General features: G+C 34.8%; 1 protein-coding gene across 14 annotated transcripts in view; it reads right to left on the minus strand.

Moving 5' to 3' along the window:
- The window catches only part of DOCK7 (dedicator of cytokinesis 7), a 233,661-nt gene that overhangs the window by 41,611 nt on the left and 173,856 nt on the right, over positions 1-18,194 (minus strand). For 8 of the 14 annotated variants that reach the window (XM_047432966.1, XM_017002639.2, NM_033407.4 and 5 more), the window contains 7 exons: positions 17,380-17,562; positions 17,108-17,270; positions 14,241-14,337; positions 11,626-11,722; positions 9,346-9,480; positions 8,294-8,446; positions 3-161 (listed from right to left, as the gene is read on the minus strand). In XM_047432966.1, coding sequence (XP_047288922.1) covers positions 3-161; positions 8,294-8,446; positions 9,346-9,480; positions 11,626-11,722; positions 14,241-14,337; positions 17,108-17,270; positions 17,380-17,562 — 987 coding nt within the window. The remainder of the gene's footprint in view (positions 1-2; positions 162-8,293; positions 8,447-9,345; positions 9,481-11,625; positions 11,723-14,240; positions 14,338-17,107; positions 17,271-17,379; positions 17,563-18,194) is intronic. The other 6 variants (XM_047432967.1, NM_001272001.2, NM_001272000.2 and 3 more) reach the window with 1 other exon arrangement.

Consider the following 18,194-nt stretch of genomic DNA (forward strand, 5'->3'; position numbering starts at 1 on the left):
ACCTGATCAGGAAATGTTGTTTCCCTCAATTCCAGATCTTCTTCAGCATATGTCAATATAGTCTTTAGAGAACGTCTTAAGAATTCTTCATTAAAATTCTGAGATGTGCCCACCAAGGAGGATAGTGACATTGTTACCTGCATTTTAACCCTGGCAAAGTTCTGTAACAGAGAAATTGTCCAGTCAATACTTAATATAGAAAAGCTTTAAAAAGTCTGCTATTTTTCCTTGCTAAAAGTATATTTAGTGAAAAAATACCATTCTAAGCAAAATATTTTTTAAAGTAATAAAATATGCATATCAAAATCTTATTTTAGAAAGGTTGTAAAACTTAGAATTTTGTTGTGAATAATGTGCTACAAAACAGGATTTTAAGAAGTCATGTGTTAAGGGTTGAATTAGAAATTCTGCTTATCTCTTTACATTTATTTATTATGGGCATATGTTATTAATATAACATTTTACAGATGAGGTTAAATAGCTTGACTGACATTATAAAATTCTTAAATGGTAGATGGAGTATTTAAATTCTAGTCCATTTCATGACATCCATACTATGATGAAAGTAATTTAACACACATCATGCATAAAGTAATGTAAGGTAGAATCTTTTGGAGTGATGCCTTTAACAGTTTATAACTTACATTCTTCCTTTTTTTAGTGTAAATTCATTTCTGCTCCACCATTTTCTACCATGAAATCACTCTGAAGAGATTATTGGTGATAATATATCAATTGTCAAATCCAATATTTTTTGGTCAATATTCTACTTTACATCTTTGTATATTTAAATTACTTTCACCTTGAAAATCTCCTACCTTATCTTCAGTGGCACCACTTTATCCTGGTTTTCCTATTCTTTTTCGACTCTTTTTCTATTTTATTCCTTGGTTATTCTTCCTAAATACCAGTATTCCCAAAGATTCTGTCAAAAACCTTTTCTCACTTAACATACTCTAAAGAGCCTCATCCATGTCTTTGCTTCAACCAGTATATACACATGTTTCTGTCTCCAGCTGATATTTGTCTGTAGAACTCCAGGCTACTATATTTTACTAGATAGCACCATCTGGATGTCTCATAGGTACCACAAAGTCAACATGTCTAAAATACCTTCTCTCCCTATTGATTATCTAAAAAAGTGATACTATTCTTGTAGTCATGCCAAAAATCTAGGGGTCACCCCTACTCATCCTCCCCTCTCATTTTTCATACCATAAATCCAAATCCACACCATCTCCTAATGTGTTCCAATATATCCTTTCTCCATTCCAAATGGCTTTGCTTTATTTTACACCCTCACCATTTCTTATTTGGATTACTGTAATAACTTCCTAATCAATCTCCATGCCTTTTTCTTTCATATCTCTCAGTCTAACCTCTACCTAGCACCACGGAACTTTTTGTAAAATGCAGATCTGAACATGTTCCTCCTCTCCTTAAAATGCTCCTAAGGCAGCTGTCCAAAGTTTTGAGGATAAAATTAAAGAATTCAACTCAGTAAATATGTCACACTACATAGTAGGCACTGAGAGTATAGTGATAAAATAATTCATAGTTGGCTAGGCCTTTTCAATTACACCTTTATCCCTTACTCTTTCTTCCAGCCATAACCATCAAAAAGTGCTTTTAAAAAAAAAAGGGGGCTGGGCATGGTGGCTCACATCTGTAATCCCAGCAGTTTGGGAGGCCAAGACAGGAGGTTCACTGAGGCCCAAAGTTTGAGACCGGCATGTCTACGAAATTTTTTTTTTTTAATTAGCTAGATGTAGTGGTACATGCGTGTAGTCCCAGCTACTTGGGAGGCTGAGTGGAAGGATCCCTTGAGCAAAGGAGTTCAAAGCTGTGCCACTGCTCTTTAGTCTGGGCAACAGAGTAAGACCTCATCTCCCAAAATTTAAAAAAAGTGCTAAAAAACTGTCTTTGTGTTTGCCCATTTCCTTCTTTCATCTCCATCCCTTTCTAATTATGTATGTGTCATTATCTTTACCTAAAAAGCTCTATCCATTTAGCCATCTGATTGGGTAATTCTTCATTCTTACTTCAAACATCTCTTCTTTCTGAAAACCCATCCCTGAATCATAAGCTATTTTTCTATGTGCTTATGAAGTACCCTGTGCTTATCTCGCATTATATTAACAACACCAAGTACTTATTTAGCACTTGCTTAGTGCCATCTACTGCTATGTTTTACTTAATATTAATTTATGTAACACTTACAAAACCATCTGAACTAGATTCATCTGTTATTAAATGAACATCACTTTCTAATCCTCTTCTCCCACTAGGTGCCAAGCTACTTGAAAAAAAAAAACAAAAAACTGTCCTTTTATCTATGTCTGCCCAATGCCTACCAAAGCAGCCAAGACACAGTTCCATATTTTACTATGTTGTACAATATACAGACATAATACTGCATCTGTTGAATAAACATATATATCACTGCCAGTTTTAAATTACCCATTTCTTTCTTTTTTTTTTTTGAGACAGAGTCTTACTCTGTCACCCAGGCTGGAGTGAAGTGGCGTGATCTTGGTTCACCACAATCTCTGCCTTCTGGGTTCAAGCAATTCTCCTGCCTCAGCCTCCCAAGTAGCTGGGATTACAGGCGCCCGCCACCATGCTTGGCTAATTTTTATATTTTTAGTAGAGACAAGGTTTCACCATGTTGGCCAGGCTGGTCTTGAACTCCTGACCTCAGGTGATCCACCTGCCTCGGCCTCCCAAAGTGCTGGGATTACAGGCGTGAGCCACTGCGTCCAGCCACCTATTCCTTTTTGGAAACACTGCCTGATACTAATACTATAAATTGTCCTTTCTTCTTTTATATAAAGCTTTTCCAAAATAACAGAAACATGTATCAAGAAAACTGAGTGTGGTCAAATTTTAGAGACTTTATTTCATAAACAAAGTAAGATCAATAAAGTAACCATATTCTTCTATTCTGGGTTAAGACAGAAGACTTCCCTTCCAGTAAAAAAAGGACAGTATGAGATAGCAATTTCCCACTTCTGGATTTCATGTAAAAATAAAAGATGGGGGAATAGAAAAAACCCCACAAACTCTATCTTTATCAAAATGAGGAGTCAGATATAATTCATTTATTAGAAAAATGGGAGGTTGCCAACACAAGCTAAGTTAGGAAGCAGTTCCAATATAAGGCAAGGAAAGGAAAGCAAAGAGTGAGGAATCCTAGGGCACAGATTTTAGAACTAATGAGGGAAACAAATATTTCCTCTAAGTAAGAAACTTAGCCCGGTGTGATAGTAGCTCACATCTGAAATCCCAGCACTTTGGGAGGCCAAGACAGGAGAGCTGCTTGAGGCAAGGATTTCAAGACCAGCCTAGGCAACAGAGACAGATCCTGTTTCTACAAGAAAAAAAAAAATTAGCCAGGCATGACATGGTGGTGTGTGCCTATAGCCCCAGCTACTTGGGAGGCTGAGGTGGGAGGATCCCTTTAGCCCAGGAGTTTTGAGGCTGCAATGAGCTATGACTGCACCACTGCACTCCAGCCTGGGTAACAGAGCAAGACCCTGTCTCTAAAAAATAAATAAATAAATACACAAGAAACCCATCTTGAAGTTGTAAAACTGTTCTGAAAAAAAAAAAATGAGCTAAAAATCTGGTAAAATTGGACAGAGATGGATCATCCAGAAAGTTTAGGCAGTTAGGCAAGATGTGCCTGCAATAGCAAAATCCCAGCCAAAACACATTTCTGAAGGAACTCCCTATAAATGCTTGGGCCAAGATAACCCAGCTTATCCTATGTTGAGTAGTAAAAAGGTAAGGAAGAGCAGCAAAACTCACCAGATAAAGAATACTTAATAGACAAATGATGTCATAAAACAGACGAAAATTCTAATGAAATATTTTGATTTAAATTATACAAAATTTATGAAGACATCTTTAGAATAAAAAAGGCAGAAATACAAGAAGTCAAGGAAAGATGGCAAAAATCAGAAAACAATAACATATAATCAATTACATGTGAGCTGGCAAAAGAAATTTTTTTACTTGGAAAAGTAAGAAAAAAACAGAAATGAAGATGAAATTTTAAAAGTGTTAAAAAGGAGAAGACAAAATGATAGGTAAAGTAAAAGTTCCAACATATGTATAATGAACCCAGCACAGAAACCCCAAACACAGGAACAAAACAAGTATTTTATATTCAAGAAAATTTTCTGAAATAAATGAACTAAAAGTACACATCATGTACCTGAGAAACTTAACACAAATCAGTCAATACTAAGACAAATATTCTAGAAAAGTCATTTAATTATAAATATAAAGAAAATCTCATGAGCAGCTGGGGGAAAAATGTTATTTAAAACGGAGAAAAATACCTTTCAATATATCTACAACAATATTTAATGTCAGAAGACAATGGTACTCAAGTACCCTTTTTTTCCTATGAGGTGTTCTTTATCTGATAAGTTTTGCTGATTTTTCTCGTGCTTATTATTATTCAAAGTATAAGGCAAAGATTTCATAACCACCCTTGCTGTCCTACAAGTACAGACAACTTTAAACAATCAAGAACTTGGAAAACTGGCTGGGTGCAATGGTTACTGCCTGTAATCCCAACACTCTGGGTGGACAAGGTGGGAGAACAGCTTGAGCCCAGGAGTTCTGGGCTACAGTGAAGTACCATCATGCCACTGCAGTCTAGCCTGGGTGACAGGAGGAAACGCTGTCTCTATTTTTAAAAGGGGGGGTGAGTGGGGTGGGCAGGGCGAGGTGGCTCATACCTGCAGTCCCAGCACTTTGGAAGGCCGTGCAGGGAGGACTGCCTGAGCCTACGAGTTCAAGACCAGACTGGGCAACAAAGTGAGTTCCTGTCTCGACTAAAACAAACAAAAAAACACTTGGAGAATATTACTCCTAAGAACCTTGATGAGGACAATATTTAGCTAAATAAAAGATAATTACAGCCCTAAAAAACTGGTGGTAAGCAATATTTCATTTTACAACTAAGACTACAAACTAAGACTGAAATGTTACAGCTAAGAAAAACACTAGGAGGGTGAGAAAGGAGATAGAAAGAAGTACTTAACTATCTACAGTAGACATAAAACAAATAATATTATTTGAAGGTGGCAATTAAATCAAGTGAAGTATATGCAGATTCAACAATACAGATGTAAACAGTAAGAAAGATAATTTTTTGAAATATTGAGGTACAAAGAATGACAGGGTGGAGGAGAGAAAAGAAAATCAGCAATTTTATCACTGTTCATTAAAGGGAGTTAATAGATACTTGTCTCAAGTAGAGTTTCTCAATATTTTTTTCATTATTGTCCCCCTAATAAATCTTTTTGAACATTTTTTCTAATTACATCCCTATGATATTTTAATATCAGAGATGTATACATCTGTTTATGCACTCTATGTATTTCTGGATTTATATACACGTAAGAAAGTAAATATAAAGCTTACTCTTTTTACTTGATGCAAGGTTATGAATGACTAGATAAAAATTTTAAGTTAAAAATCTGAAAATGATTTACATTTAGCTTATGTTTATAGGCTGGTTTTCTGAAAAACTTTTAATATAATCTTTTAGCTTAAATAAACTATAATGTATCAAATTACACAAATAAATTAGCAACTTATATAACTACAAAACAAAAGCAGCAATGTAATCAATTTTTTAAACCATTCAAAACTGCTATTTATTCAGCAAAAGAAAGGAATTAAAAATTAATTTCTTAAAAATTATTTCAGTGAACTTTCACTATTTGCTTGATAGAAGGAAATAAGTTCTGGCTACTAGATATTCATTCAGATATTGTTGACTTTTTTTATTTTCAGCAAATGACATGATTAAAAATGGGTTGAATAACTTTTGTAGAATGAACTAATAAATTGGAAAGTTTTTTTCTTGGGCTTAATTTTCAAAGCCCAAGTCACACACGAATGCACTGAGAACCAAACATAAACAATATCCACAAGGCAGCCAATGGAAGCAACCTCTTGCCATATGACTGAGATCAAGCAATTGATTAAAAGTCTCCCTATCACAGTCATCTATTCTCCAGTTTTATAAGCCCAATTTCGCATACATTTTGTTTTTTGTTTATCTTCCATGAACTTAATGTCAATGCTGCTCATGTGATATCCAATAAGACCAATGAGACAAATAAATACTAAGGAATGCCATGTTGTTGGGTAGTGTTGAGCTTTGGAGGACCATAAGCTAAGATTTTTCTCATCCTCCACAAAAACGAATTTTCACTCCCTTGGTGGTAATTACTGCCCTGGTTGAGAATGCATGATCTAAAGAAATAGAGTACTAGGGGTATTACATAACTATAAAGGCAACCATTAGAGCAAAACCAGAAATTTTGCTAAATATGATAAACACTACATCCCCAAAACAAGGTAAACAGACCATATAGTGTAAGATGAAAACAACCAACACAATTTTTTTTAAAGGGGAGGCAAGAGGGAAAGGCATAACAAAATAATAGAATTCCAGGACGTATGTAATATAATAACAAGTATGAAAGGTTTAATTCAATTAGAGGTTGGATCACAAAGCAAAACTCAACTCTTATGTTGTATATGAGAGGCACATCTAAAATAAAGTGAAAATTAAAGAACAGGCAAAGGCAATTAAATTAAGTTCAAATTAAAAAGAAAGCAGAGGTCAAAATCTTAATACCATAAGAGATGAAATTCAGGCCAAAAAATAAAATAGAATAAAGGTTTTAAGTAAAACCAAGACGAGTTCTTTTAAATTCCAAAGGAGAAAAACTCTTAAGAAGATACAGTAGTTATGAGTATTAGTACACCAAATAAAAGCTAAAGGAGAAACAGACAAACACAGTAATAGGCTTTAATTTACTTCTACCAAGTGAAACAAAAACAAGGATATAGAGAGACACAATAATGTAATTAATAAGGTGTATTTATCTAGTATATGTTTAACTCAATATTCTGAAAACAGAACTACTTCCTTTTTAAAGTTTTTTTGTAGAACACTCATAAAAATGGATTATATTTAGACACACAAATACACAGATCCACAGTAAAGAAAGGGAGAAACAGAATACACATTGTACAATCACAATGTAATAAAGCTGAAAATTAACATAAACAATTTTTTTTTTTTTTGAGACAGGATCTCACTCTGTCACTCAGGCTGGAGTACAGTGGTGTGTTCATAGCTCACTGCGACCTCACACTCCTGGGCTCAAAGGGATCCTCCCATCTCAGCCTCCCGAGTAGCTGCGACCACAGGCACAGGCCACCAAGCCCGGCTAGTATTATTTATTTTTTTGTAGAGATAGGGTTTTACTATGTCACTCAGGCTGGCCTCAAACTCCTGGCCTCAAGCAATCTTCCTTCCTCGGCCACCCAAAGTGTTGGGATTACACGTGTGAGCCACTGGAGCCAGCCAAAACTTTGAAACAAAAAGGCTAGCAGCCAGGCGCGGTGGCTCACTCCTGTAATCCCAGCACTTTGGGAGGCCGAGGCAGGCGGATCACGAGGTCAGGAGATCGAGACCATCCTGGCTAACATGGTGAAACCCCGTCTCTACTAAAAGTACAAAAAATTAGCTGGGCGTGGTGGCGGGCACCTGTAATCCCAGCTACTTGGGAGGCTGAGGCAGGAGAATGGCGTGAACCCAGGAGGCGGAGCTTGCAGTGAGCCAAGATCACGCCACTGCACTCCAGCCTGGGCGACTGAGTGAGACTCCGTCTCAAAAAAAAAAAAAAAATAAGGCTAGTCAACTCTTTGGGTTAAAAAGAAAACACAAACTGAAATGACAACATTACTAAATATCAGAACCAAGGAGACGCCAAAAATAGCACTTAAAGGAAAATTCAAGGCCTTAAATACTTACATAAGCAAAAATAAATGAACTAAATATTTGACTCAAAAAGGAAAAATATAACACATGAATATAACATATAATAAAAGACAAATGAAAAAATGGAATTCTTCAAAGGCTGTGACATGTAATTGTAAAATATCAAGCCAAGATACTTAAACTTGTATTTCTTTTTACTTAGGGACAATTAAAATTTAAAACTGCTCAATGTACATTTATATTCTAAGTCTGTATTAATATACATACATACATACATACGTACACATGATATGCACACAATTGGAGATTTGGATTTTTGTAAGATATACACAGAATGAGAAATATCAAGATAGCCTATGATTAGACTAAAAATATACAAAAAACTCCATGCTCTCCCAAAAACTGATTTAATAACTATCAGCAGAAGTTATATTTCATTATGAATACAGAGAATTTTCATGATAAAATACTTACATTCCCAATCTCAAAGTTTTGCCTCATTAGTAGGTAAAGGGAGGCACTGGCGTGTGACCGTATTGTACCGATGCTACTGCTACAGTGTCGGAGAAGCCTGAGGCATAAATCAGCACACTGCTCTGTCTCTTCTTCAAATAAGAGTTCAGGAAACTGTAAAACAACAAAACAAACCACCACTGAATTTTTACAGTAAAAGTTTCTGAGATATGTTAATATAACCTGAACTGGAGACTTGTTAGTATAGCCCAGAAATTAAAAGAATGGTTAGGACAATATTAGCTAATGGTTAATAGTGTGAGACACAGAGTCAAACTGGGTTCGAATGCTCATTATTCCACTTACTAACTAGTAGTGGGACCTTGGACAAGTTTTCTCATCCACAAAATAGGCCTAATAATATATCTACAAGGGATTGTTGTGAAGCTTCTATCAGAATGTGCATAAAACACTTAGTAATCAACATATATGAATTCTATATTTATTACAAAATAATACGTAAGTTATTTTCATCAACATCTCTGCATTCCATCCTCTAGGATGATTAAAATGAAATAGCTACCTTCAAAATTTAAGAATATACATATTTCTAAGGGAAAACAAATATAAGAAGTAAACATTTAAAGCAGTTGAACAAACACATACCTTCTTTTCCATTCATCATAAAATAATTTCAGTGGGTTGAATTGCTTATATATTGAATTCTTTATAAATTGAGTTTTTTATAAAAACAGAACCAAGTGAAGAGAAAACAAGAGAAGCCCCATATTTAAGATTGGCTATTAATTTCAGGCCCTTCTCCACATCCAAGTTACTGTTTTTCAAACCAGAACTGGTTAAAGGTGATTCGAATAAATGAAAAATTCTAAAAGGCAGGCAGCAGTAGAGAGGCAAAGAAGAATTAAGGGTCTTAGGTTATTATTTAAATTTTAACTACACATATTCATTAATATATTACTACATATATTAACCAATGAATGTGTCAAATGATCTTAGACAATGTTAATAAAAAAAACAAAGTCTGACAACACTGCAGGTACAAAATAACCTACCTTTGAAACCAAGGCTCTCTGTGTAGCAAAACAGTGTTGTAGATAAACTGCACTTTGGTTACAGGCCATGCTGTGTAGTAGCACTTTTAGCACTCCACCAAGAATGCTCTCTTTGGATTCCGTTACAGAAACGGTCTGCAATTTAAAAATAAACAAATAAAATAGAGATGTACTTGCAATTTAGTTATGGATGTTACAGGCCTCCCTATGTATAAATAAAGGCCTCCCTGTATGTATAAGTAAAGTTTTAAAAGATAAAAAAATGATAACATAAGATCTAGGATGGCTTCAAGAAGGAGCTAAGCAGGATTTGAATAAGAAAAGGGGGAAAAAGAATAAATATAATTTAAATGAGAAAAAACAGGAGTAAGATACAATGGCAAGAAATCATAAGGTGTGTTTTAGGAAAATTAGTAAGTAAATTTGAATTGACTTGAGGTTCATGTAGAAAATAACTAGAGATAAGGCTGAAAAATTGAGTGGTGCCTAGAGCAAAAAATGTTGGTGGTACACAAATAACCATTCTTTTCTTCTTTAATAATTGAAATCCTGAATTTTAGCTGAAGACTTTGAATCCGGCTACAGAGAGAGGTGAACAAAAGAGAAGTTACATCTTCTGAGTCATGCCCTTAAAAAAAGAAATGTACTCTGTCCCTGCTGTTTCTTTTCACTGAATGAAATACAGACATGATGGCCGCAGCTCAAGCAACCATCTTGGGATCAGTTATCTTGGACTTATTAAATTTTTTCTATTTTTAAAACTTTAGTCAGGATAATGACTGATAAAATCTTTTTTTTTTTGTTTTTGAGATGGAGTCTCACTCTGTCACCCAGGCTGAAGTGCAGTGGCTTGATCTTGGCTCACTGCAACCTCCGCCTCCTGGCTTCAAGCAATTCTTGTGCCTCAGCCTCCTGAGTAGCTAGGATTACAGGTGTGCGCCACCACACCCAGCTAATTTTTTTATTTTTAGTAGAGTCAGGGTTGGCTGGGTGCAGTGGCTCACGCCTGTAATCCCCACACTTTGGGAGGCTGAGGTGGGTGGATCACCTGAGGTCAGGAGTTCGAGACCAGCCTAACCAACGTGGAGAAACCCTGTCTCTACTAAAAATACACAATCAGCTGGGCGTGGTGGCGCATGCCTGTAATCCCAGCTACTTGGGAGGCTGAGGCAGGAGAATCACTTGAACCCGGGAGGCGGAGGTTGTGGTGAGCTGAGATTGCGCCACTGCACTCCAGCCTGGGCAACAAGAGCGAAACTCCACCTCAAAAATAAATAAATAAATAAATAAATAAATAAATAAAATAGAGTAGAGTCAGGGTTTTGCCATGTTGACTAGGCTGGTCTTGAACTCCTGACTTGAAGTGATCCACCCACCTCAGCTTCCCAAATTGCTGGGATTACAGGCATGAGCCACCGTGCCCAGCCATAAAATACTTTTAAAGGAAAATTCTCACAACAATGTACAGAATGGATGGTGGGAAGAATACAGAGTGAGTTATGAAGTAGGTGGCCATTGTAATAGCGTGGAAATATGAACCTGGCAGAGTAGTGGTAGTAGAAAAGGAATGGAAGGAATAGGTGAGAGATATATTTACTAAAACATCTGAAAGATCTTGCTAACTGATTTGAATCCTGGCTCTTCTACATACTAGCTGCGTCATTATGGGCAGTTATTTAACATCTTTGTGCCTAAGTGTTCTCATCTACAAGATGAGGATACTGACAGTTTCAATGTCATGAGTTTCTTAGAAGGATCAAATGAGTTAATATTTGTAAAGTGCTTAGGACAATGTTTAACACAGAAAAAACTAAATAAATGTCAGCTATCACATTGTTACTACAGAATACTGCCCAGAGGGCAACTGTTAGGACCCAACACAATGATTATAGATAAAAAGCCTGAAACATTGCTGTGGTATACAGAGGATACTGCATAAACCCAGTTTATCTATATGTAGCTATAGCTATACATGCATGTTGAATCTCACCTGATGGCAGAACTTCCACCTATAAATACTCAGAGGATATTTGGAAATGCAAGACTAGGCCATCAAGGGGAAAGACAAGGAGATAAAGATTTCATAATCATCCTCCATGAAGAAACAGTTGAAGCTATGGGAATTTATAATTACAGAGAATCTCAGAATGCTTGGAACGAAACTTTTAGGAACTACCAATATTTAATAAAATGTAATTTTATGGCTCACAGTAAACACTTTTCCCTCCAACCTCAATTTACCAAATCCGTATTTTAAATTTCTCTTCTTTGCATTCTTACCTGAACAACAATCTCTAATGTATCTAAAATGATTAGGTTTGCTTCTGTAGCCAGGTTTCCATCAATCAGTGCTTCGTGTTCAATCTCTGCTCTTGATCTAATACAAAATATTGTAAGAAATTATATTTATCTTTTTGAAAACTACAATTCTGAAAAGACTTAAGGATGCATAGAAATAAAAAATTTCAAACCATTTTCAATATTTGCCTGATAAAAAATTACAAGAGAATAAGAAAAAAGGCAGTAGTTTACACATTTATGCAGCTTTTTTGTTAACCACAACAATACACACTTTCTCACCCCATTACAGAAGTGTAATGCCACTAAAAGCATAAATGTTTATGTTTTAGCTTTCAAACATGCAGCAGACAGTTTTATTCTAAGTGACACTGACACTAGGTGGTGCTATGTGGGCTTGTATTTAGGACTGCTTCATGGAAAACAACATTCAAATATTTAGTATTCATCTTACTATTTCAAATATTTCCAATGTCTGTATTCAGGATAAATGTACTTAATTTGTCTAAGGTTTCATCTAATTTTCCCCCAATTTTTTTTATATAAATATGCTCAGATGATAATTTAACTCTTCAGTGAGACTAGATGGAATTACTCATTGGAAACACAACAAATTTGGGGAAAAAAGGATGTGAGGTGACGAATATGCTAGTTAGCTTGCCTGTGGTAATCATTTCACAATTGTACACATATATTAAAAGATCATGTTATATTCTGTAAATATATACAATTTTGTCAATTATAACTCAATAAAGCTAGAAAAATAATAAAGAAAAAAGAACAAAACAGTTTGATGCAATAAAGTGGTTTACTTAAATACTAATATTTGTAAAAGTATCATTTAATGCAAATAAAAATGTAAGAATAATTACACATGATTTATGAATATAGTTGAGATTTTTGTTTTAGCAATAATAGATATACAGATACTATATATTACACCAAAGTAGACAAAATAACACATAAAGTACAAGGCCATATTAAACACTAACTTTTCTAAGTTTTTAGATCTGTAAGTCTGTGAGTCTTTATTATTACCACTAAAGAGAATACTTCATTAATTTACAGTTTACAAATTCAATTTAAGAATAAAAGCACTTTGAAAGGCTGAGGTAGGGGATCCTTGAGACCAGGAGTTAAGAGACCAGCCTGCACAACATGGCAAAACCCTGTCTCTACAAAAATTATTTGGGCGTGGTGGTGCACAGCTATAATCCCAGCTACTTGGGAGGCTGAGGTGGGAGGCTCACCTAAGCCCAGGAGGTCAAGGCTGCAGTGAGTCATGATTGTGCCACTGCACTTTGGCCTGAGTGACAGAGTGAGATCTTGTCTCAAAAAAAAAAAAAAAAAAGAATACAATTATCAAAATTAAACTGGAAAATAAAATATTTAATGTTCAAACTTAAAATTTCCAGTGACATTTTATAAAGAAACATAAGATGGTTTAAACAAAAAGAATCAGGAGAACACCAAAAAAGTCTCCCTCAAAACACAGCAAGATAAGCCAAGAGAACACATTCTACAAATGCAGAAATAAAGCACTACTATACTGATAGTACAGTACCTGGCTACTCTGTGATTTCTAAAAAATAACACATGTAGAAAAACCATCAGAGAAATAGATTTGGACAGACGGAGAAAAAGAAAGGAAAGCACACATTCCAAGGTTAAGAATTTTAATATATTTATATTACATTCAATATCTGATTATTTCAAGCTCTCATACATATGGTACTGAAACTTGTTTCTCTGCTGGCTCTCACTTGTTTCCTCTGTTTTATGATTTTACTGTCTGTGAGAAAATATTGTGAAAGTTTATTTGTGAGAATCTTCTGAGGCTTGGGCTGATGATGGTTCTCAGATAGGGTAATCAATCATCTTGGTTTGCCTTAGGACAGGACTAAAGGGCTCCCTGGGATGTGGGACAATCAGTGCTATAACTGGGAGAGTGCTAGGCAAACCTGAAATGAGTTGGTCACTCCATTCTCAAAGTTTTATGGGCCAGTGAAGCTACTTGCGGGCTAACTTATAATTAGAAATTCTCAAGAAAAAAATTTTAGCCCCTTGACTCAGTGCCAAATCTCAAGCCAGAAAAGTTTACCTGCAGCCACTTGGGCAGTAAGAAGATTCATGTAAGTGTATTGTAGGTGTTTATGGCAGTAGGATCAGTCAATGTATCAAGTCTGCCTTTATGCTAGAAACAGAAGACCTGTATTGTTTTGTCTTTCTTGAATTATATTATAAGCTCCATAACGACAAATGTCAGGTTTCTGATTCTTTGTAATATTTGAAATATTAGTTCAATGTGACACCTAAAATATGTTCAAAAAATAGTTGCTGAATGCATTTTCCAAGAGGATGTTTTAAAGAAAATGGAGTTTAAAATATAATATTTTGCCTTACTATACCACGAGAAGTTCTTCCTCCAAATCTTTTTAAATCTAAAATTTTTAAATTAAATATTTTGTTCTCTAAGACTTAATATATTTATTAAGTGTAAATACTAAATGTAAATATAAAGTAAAAGTTATCATTTTCCTCTTACATTTTAAAATTCAACACACCCATCAGTAACATAAAATAGAAAGCTGTATTACTTGTCAAGCTTCTCTGTGTTTTGACGCCAGTGAGTCATATCTTTCCTCCACCTCAAATTTTCTTGACTTCCAAAGGCACTTCCAGATGGGCTTCTCTCTGTCAAATAAATTTCAAAACCAATTTTCAAATGTTATTTCAGTTGGACCACATATATGTATACTTGCAATCATGTAAGAAATATACAACAATAATTTGTACAAGCCATTTTATCCTCAGTACAAGTTGAAAAACCTGACAATGGTGCTTTTTATTAAAAATTTTCACAATAATTTCAGAAGAAATGTACTTGCTATATGCAGTATCTTTTCTTTAAAACAATACCCACTTAAATAAGCAAATGTTCTAACATTGGTTTGCTTAAAATCTTAACCATGGCTTATAAGGCCTTACATGATATGACTTTATTTCCTACCATTCTTCCTCTTGCTTACCGCTTTCTGTTATCCTTGCGAATCTATCAGTATATACTCTGACTACGCTTCTGACTTACAACCTGTGCAATGGTTGTTGTTCCTTTTTCCTAATTGTTCTTCTCACAAATTTTCCTTTATCGCCTCCTTAGAAAGGCCTCCCACTCTCCAATACCTCCTTTTCCTTTTCTTTTGCTTTGTTCCTTTCCATAACACTTAGGACCACAAGTATATAAGCTCCTTAAGAACAGAAATGATATGTACTTTGTCCAAGCATGTTATGTCTAGGCTGATAAAGTGGTTTCTAGGTTTGAAGGCAGACTGCATGTATGGGTTCCTTTAAGGGGTGGCAGCAATAGAAATGATTCATACAAATCCATTAGGAGTGGAGACAGCATTGAGAATGTGGAGAATACACAAATATACATTTAAACAATGGACTCAGTCATAATTTCAAACTTTCAACTATAAAACTGCTTGTTTTTGGAAAAGGTAAGACTTTAAATTGGTTAAGAGGATGAAGAATAATGAAAGTAAATGTTCAGAGTTCAAATATAAATTTTTAAAAATACTGAAAAACAAATACAAAAGAATACAACTATACATATGTCAATTAAAGAAATACAAAAAATACTGAGAAATAAGAATCATTTCCTGTACAATAAAGGACATGGCTCTATTTCTTCTAATTTCTTTCCCTTTTCTTTCCTTTCTTTCCTTATCTCTTTCTCTTTTTTAAATTCTGAAATCCATGTCTTTAGGAAATTTATGGAAAAAAACAAAAAGATATGCCTATATTAAGATAGTTAGCAAAATTAACTATAATATTCTATCATTTACATTTTTTCCCACGAAACTCTCAATAGTTAATAATGTCTTAGAACTGAAAGTTAAGAAAAAGAAAACAATGTCTATTAGTAGACCTAATAAGCCAATGTCTATTATTGACCTAGCTTAAATGTAGAAATGTAAATAAGAATTACAAGACAAGTAAGAATTACAAGAATTATAAGACAAGAAGACTTCAATTGTTATATTCAAACAAACCCAAAAGTACACTGTAAATTGTATATAACTAAAGTGAAAAAATGGTGCTCTATTAATTTTTTTAAAGGCAAAGACTGTGCCTTTTCATTATTACAAAACATAGTATATAAATGATACTTAGATTATTATTATGCTAATGAACTGTCAGAAAACAATTAAAAATCCATTCACACTTACATTCATATTTTAAGTCAACAAATAAATATTGTGCTGTTGGCATGTATCATCTACACAGATGACCAACCCATGGCCCTGGCCTTAAGAAACTCTTAGCAACAGTATTGTCTGTATGTCACTTTAGAATTTACAAAACGTTTCTGCATGCATGGTTACTATAAAGATGATAAGATCAGTTAGTTACACTATCTTCTAAATTCTGAAAACAATCACAAATTTATAAGGAAAAGGAAGATGGGGAGATTAAGTGACTTGGCCAAGGTTATTTGGCTAATGGGTAGCAGACCTGGGATTAGAAAACCAGTCTCAAATGCTACTAAACTGTTTTGTCTCACTGATATTTGAGTTTGATGGGCAATATTTTTGCCTTATATACAGGGCATATTAATTCATTTTGCAAATAAAGAGTAAAAACAGGCCAGACGTGGTGGCTCACAGAACTGTGAGAGGCCAAGGTGGGAGGATCACTTGAGCTCAGGAATTTCAAGACTAGCCTGGGCAATACAGTGAGACCATGTTTAAAAAAAAAAAAAAATTACTTGGGCATGGTGGCACACACCTGTAGTCCCAGCTACCAGGGTAGGTGTGTATTGGGGGATGAAGGTGTAAAAATTGCTTGGGCGAGGGAGGTCAATGCTGCAGTAAGCCACAATCACACGACTGCACTCCAGCTTGGGTGACAGAGCGAGAATCTGTCTCAACTAAAAAAAAAAAGTAAAAATAGATGTTATATGGAATGATCCCTAATGTAAACTGCGGACTCTGGGTGATGATGTGTTAATGTAGGTTCACCAGTTACAACAAATGCACTACTCTGATGGGGGATGTTAATAATGGGGGAGGCTACGCATACTAAGGGGTATATGGGAAATCTCTGTACCTTTGCTCACTTTTGCTGTGAACTTAAAACTGCTCTACAAAAATAAAGTCTATTTAAAAAGGGAGGATGGATGCTATTAATCACATAAGGACTTTCTAGAGAAAGTTTTCTAGAGAGGACTTTCTAGAGAACGTTTTCTAGAGAAGACTTTCTAGAGAAAACGGGGGGGGGGGGGCGGTATGCTGACTCACCTAAATCAGAATTCTAACTTTTATTACTGCAGAGAAATGATTATTCAAGTTAATTCACAGTTACACTTAAAACACTTTTTAAAAAGCATAGGATTGACATTGAAGACTAGCAACAATGATCATTACAATATACAACTCAAGGAAATTGAAGAAATTCTCACCAGGAGGAGAAGCTATTGTGTACGTACCGAGCTGTCCTCGGCTTCGCCGTACCATTTCTTGCCTGGCACCTATGCTCCCAAGAATAGCTTCTTCAAGCTTTGCTCTCATGTCTTTTGATTTCTTAAAGGTCAAGCTATTCATTCGTTCAAACACTTTTTTCCCCTAAAATGTAAACATTAGAAGAGAAGAGGTATTGAGGAAATTTTCTTCTATTTTTTCCACATTATGTTTCTCCTTTCTTGTTCTTTGCAATGGTACAATGACCACTTACTTTATACTCAAAGCAAGACACACAGAGATAAAGCAGATCTAATAGCCGGTTTAGCTGCAAGACTGAGAGATCTGTAAACCACTTCTGTAGAACTGTTTCATCTGCATTTTTGAGAACCCAAAGTAGACAGATCAAAAGGCTTCGACTTGATTCTGCTGAAAAGGTAGTGTGTTGCCTGCCACTCTGAAAATAAAGAGCAGTAGAATGAGACAGATTGATCAAAGACCATTTCTTGTTTTTTGGCTATCAACTGTTTTCTTCTAAAAACAATAAAACAAAAGTTGCTTAAAAATAATATAATTAAAAACCATTTGATTCAGACAACACTTGTACAAAAGGATCATATATAACCTTAAGGTTAAGAGCCTGAAGTTTAATGAACCTTTCCTGATAACAGAAGTTTGTTTTAATCTACTGCATGACTGCCAGCAGGGGATAAATAAATGTTAATAAAAAACATAAAGATAAAAACTAAAAGATTCTACCATTAAAAACTAAAAGATATATATCACAGAATATCAGATATAATGAAAATAAAGGAAAAAAGCAACTGACTCACAGTAAATAAGAGTGGGCTAAGAGTAGAAAGTAATGACAAAATCATGTATGTCAGACTTAGAAGACTATTGTTTTTAATCAAGCACCACTGATACAAAAAGGAAAAGTCTTAGGCTATATAGAAGTAAAAAGCTATTTCTACTTATAGCATATAAGGTTGAAATGCTATTTTCAATCATCAATCTATATTAGTATATAGTATGTAAAACAGAAATGAAAAAATAAAAACACATTTACAGTACCACTTATTGGACATA

Source organism: Homo sapiens, chromosome 1, assembly GCF_000001405.40.
Source record: "Homo sapiens chromosome 1, GRCh38.p14 Primary Assembly".
Lineage (NCBI taxonomy): Eukaryota > Metazoa > Chordata > Mammalia > Primates > Hominidae > Homo > Homo sapiens.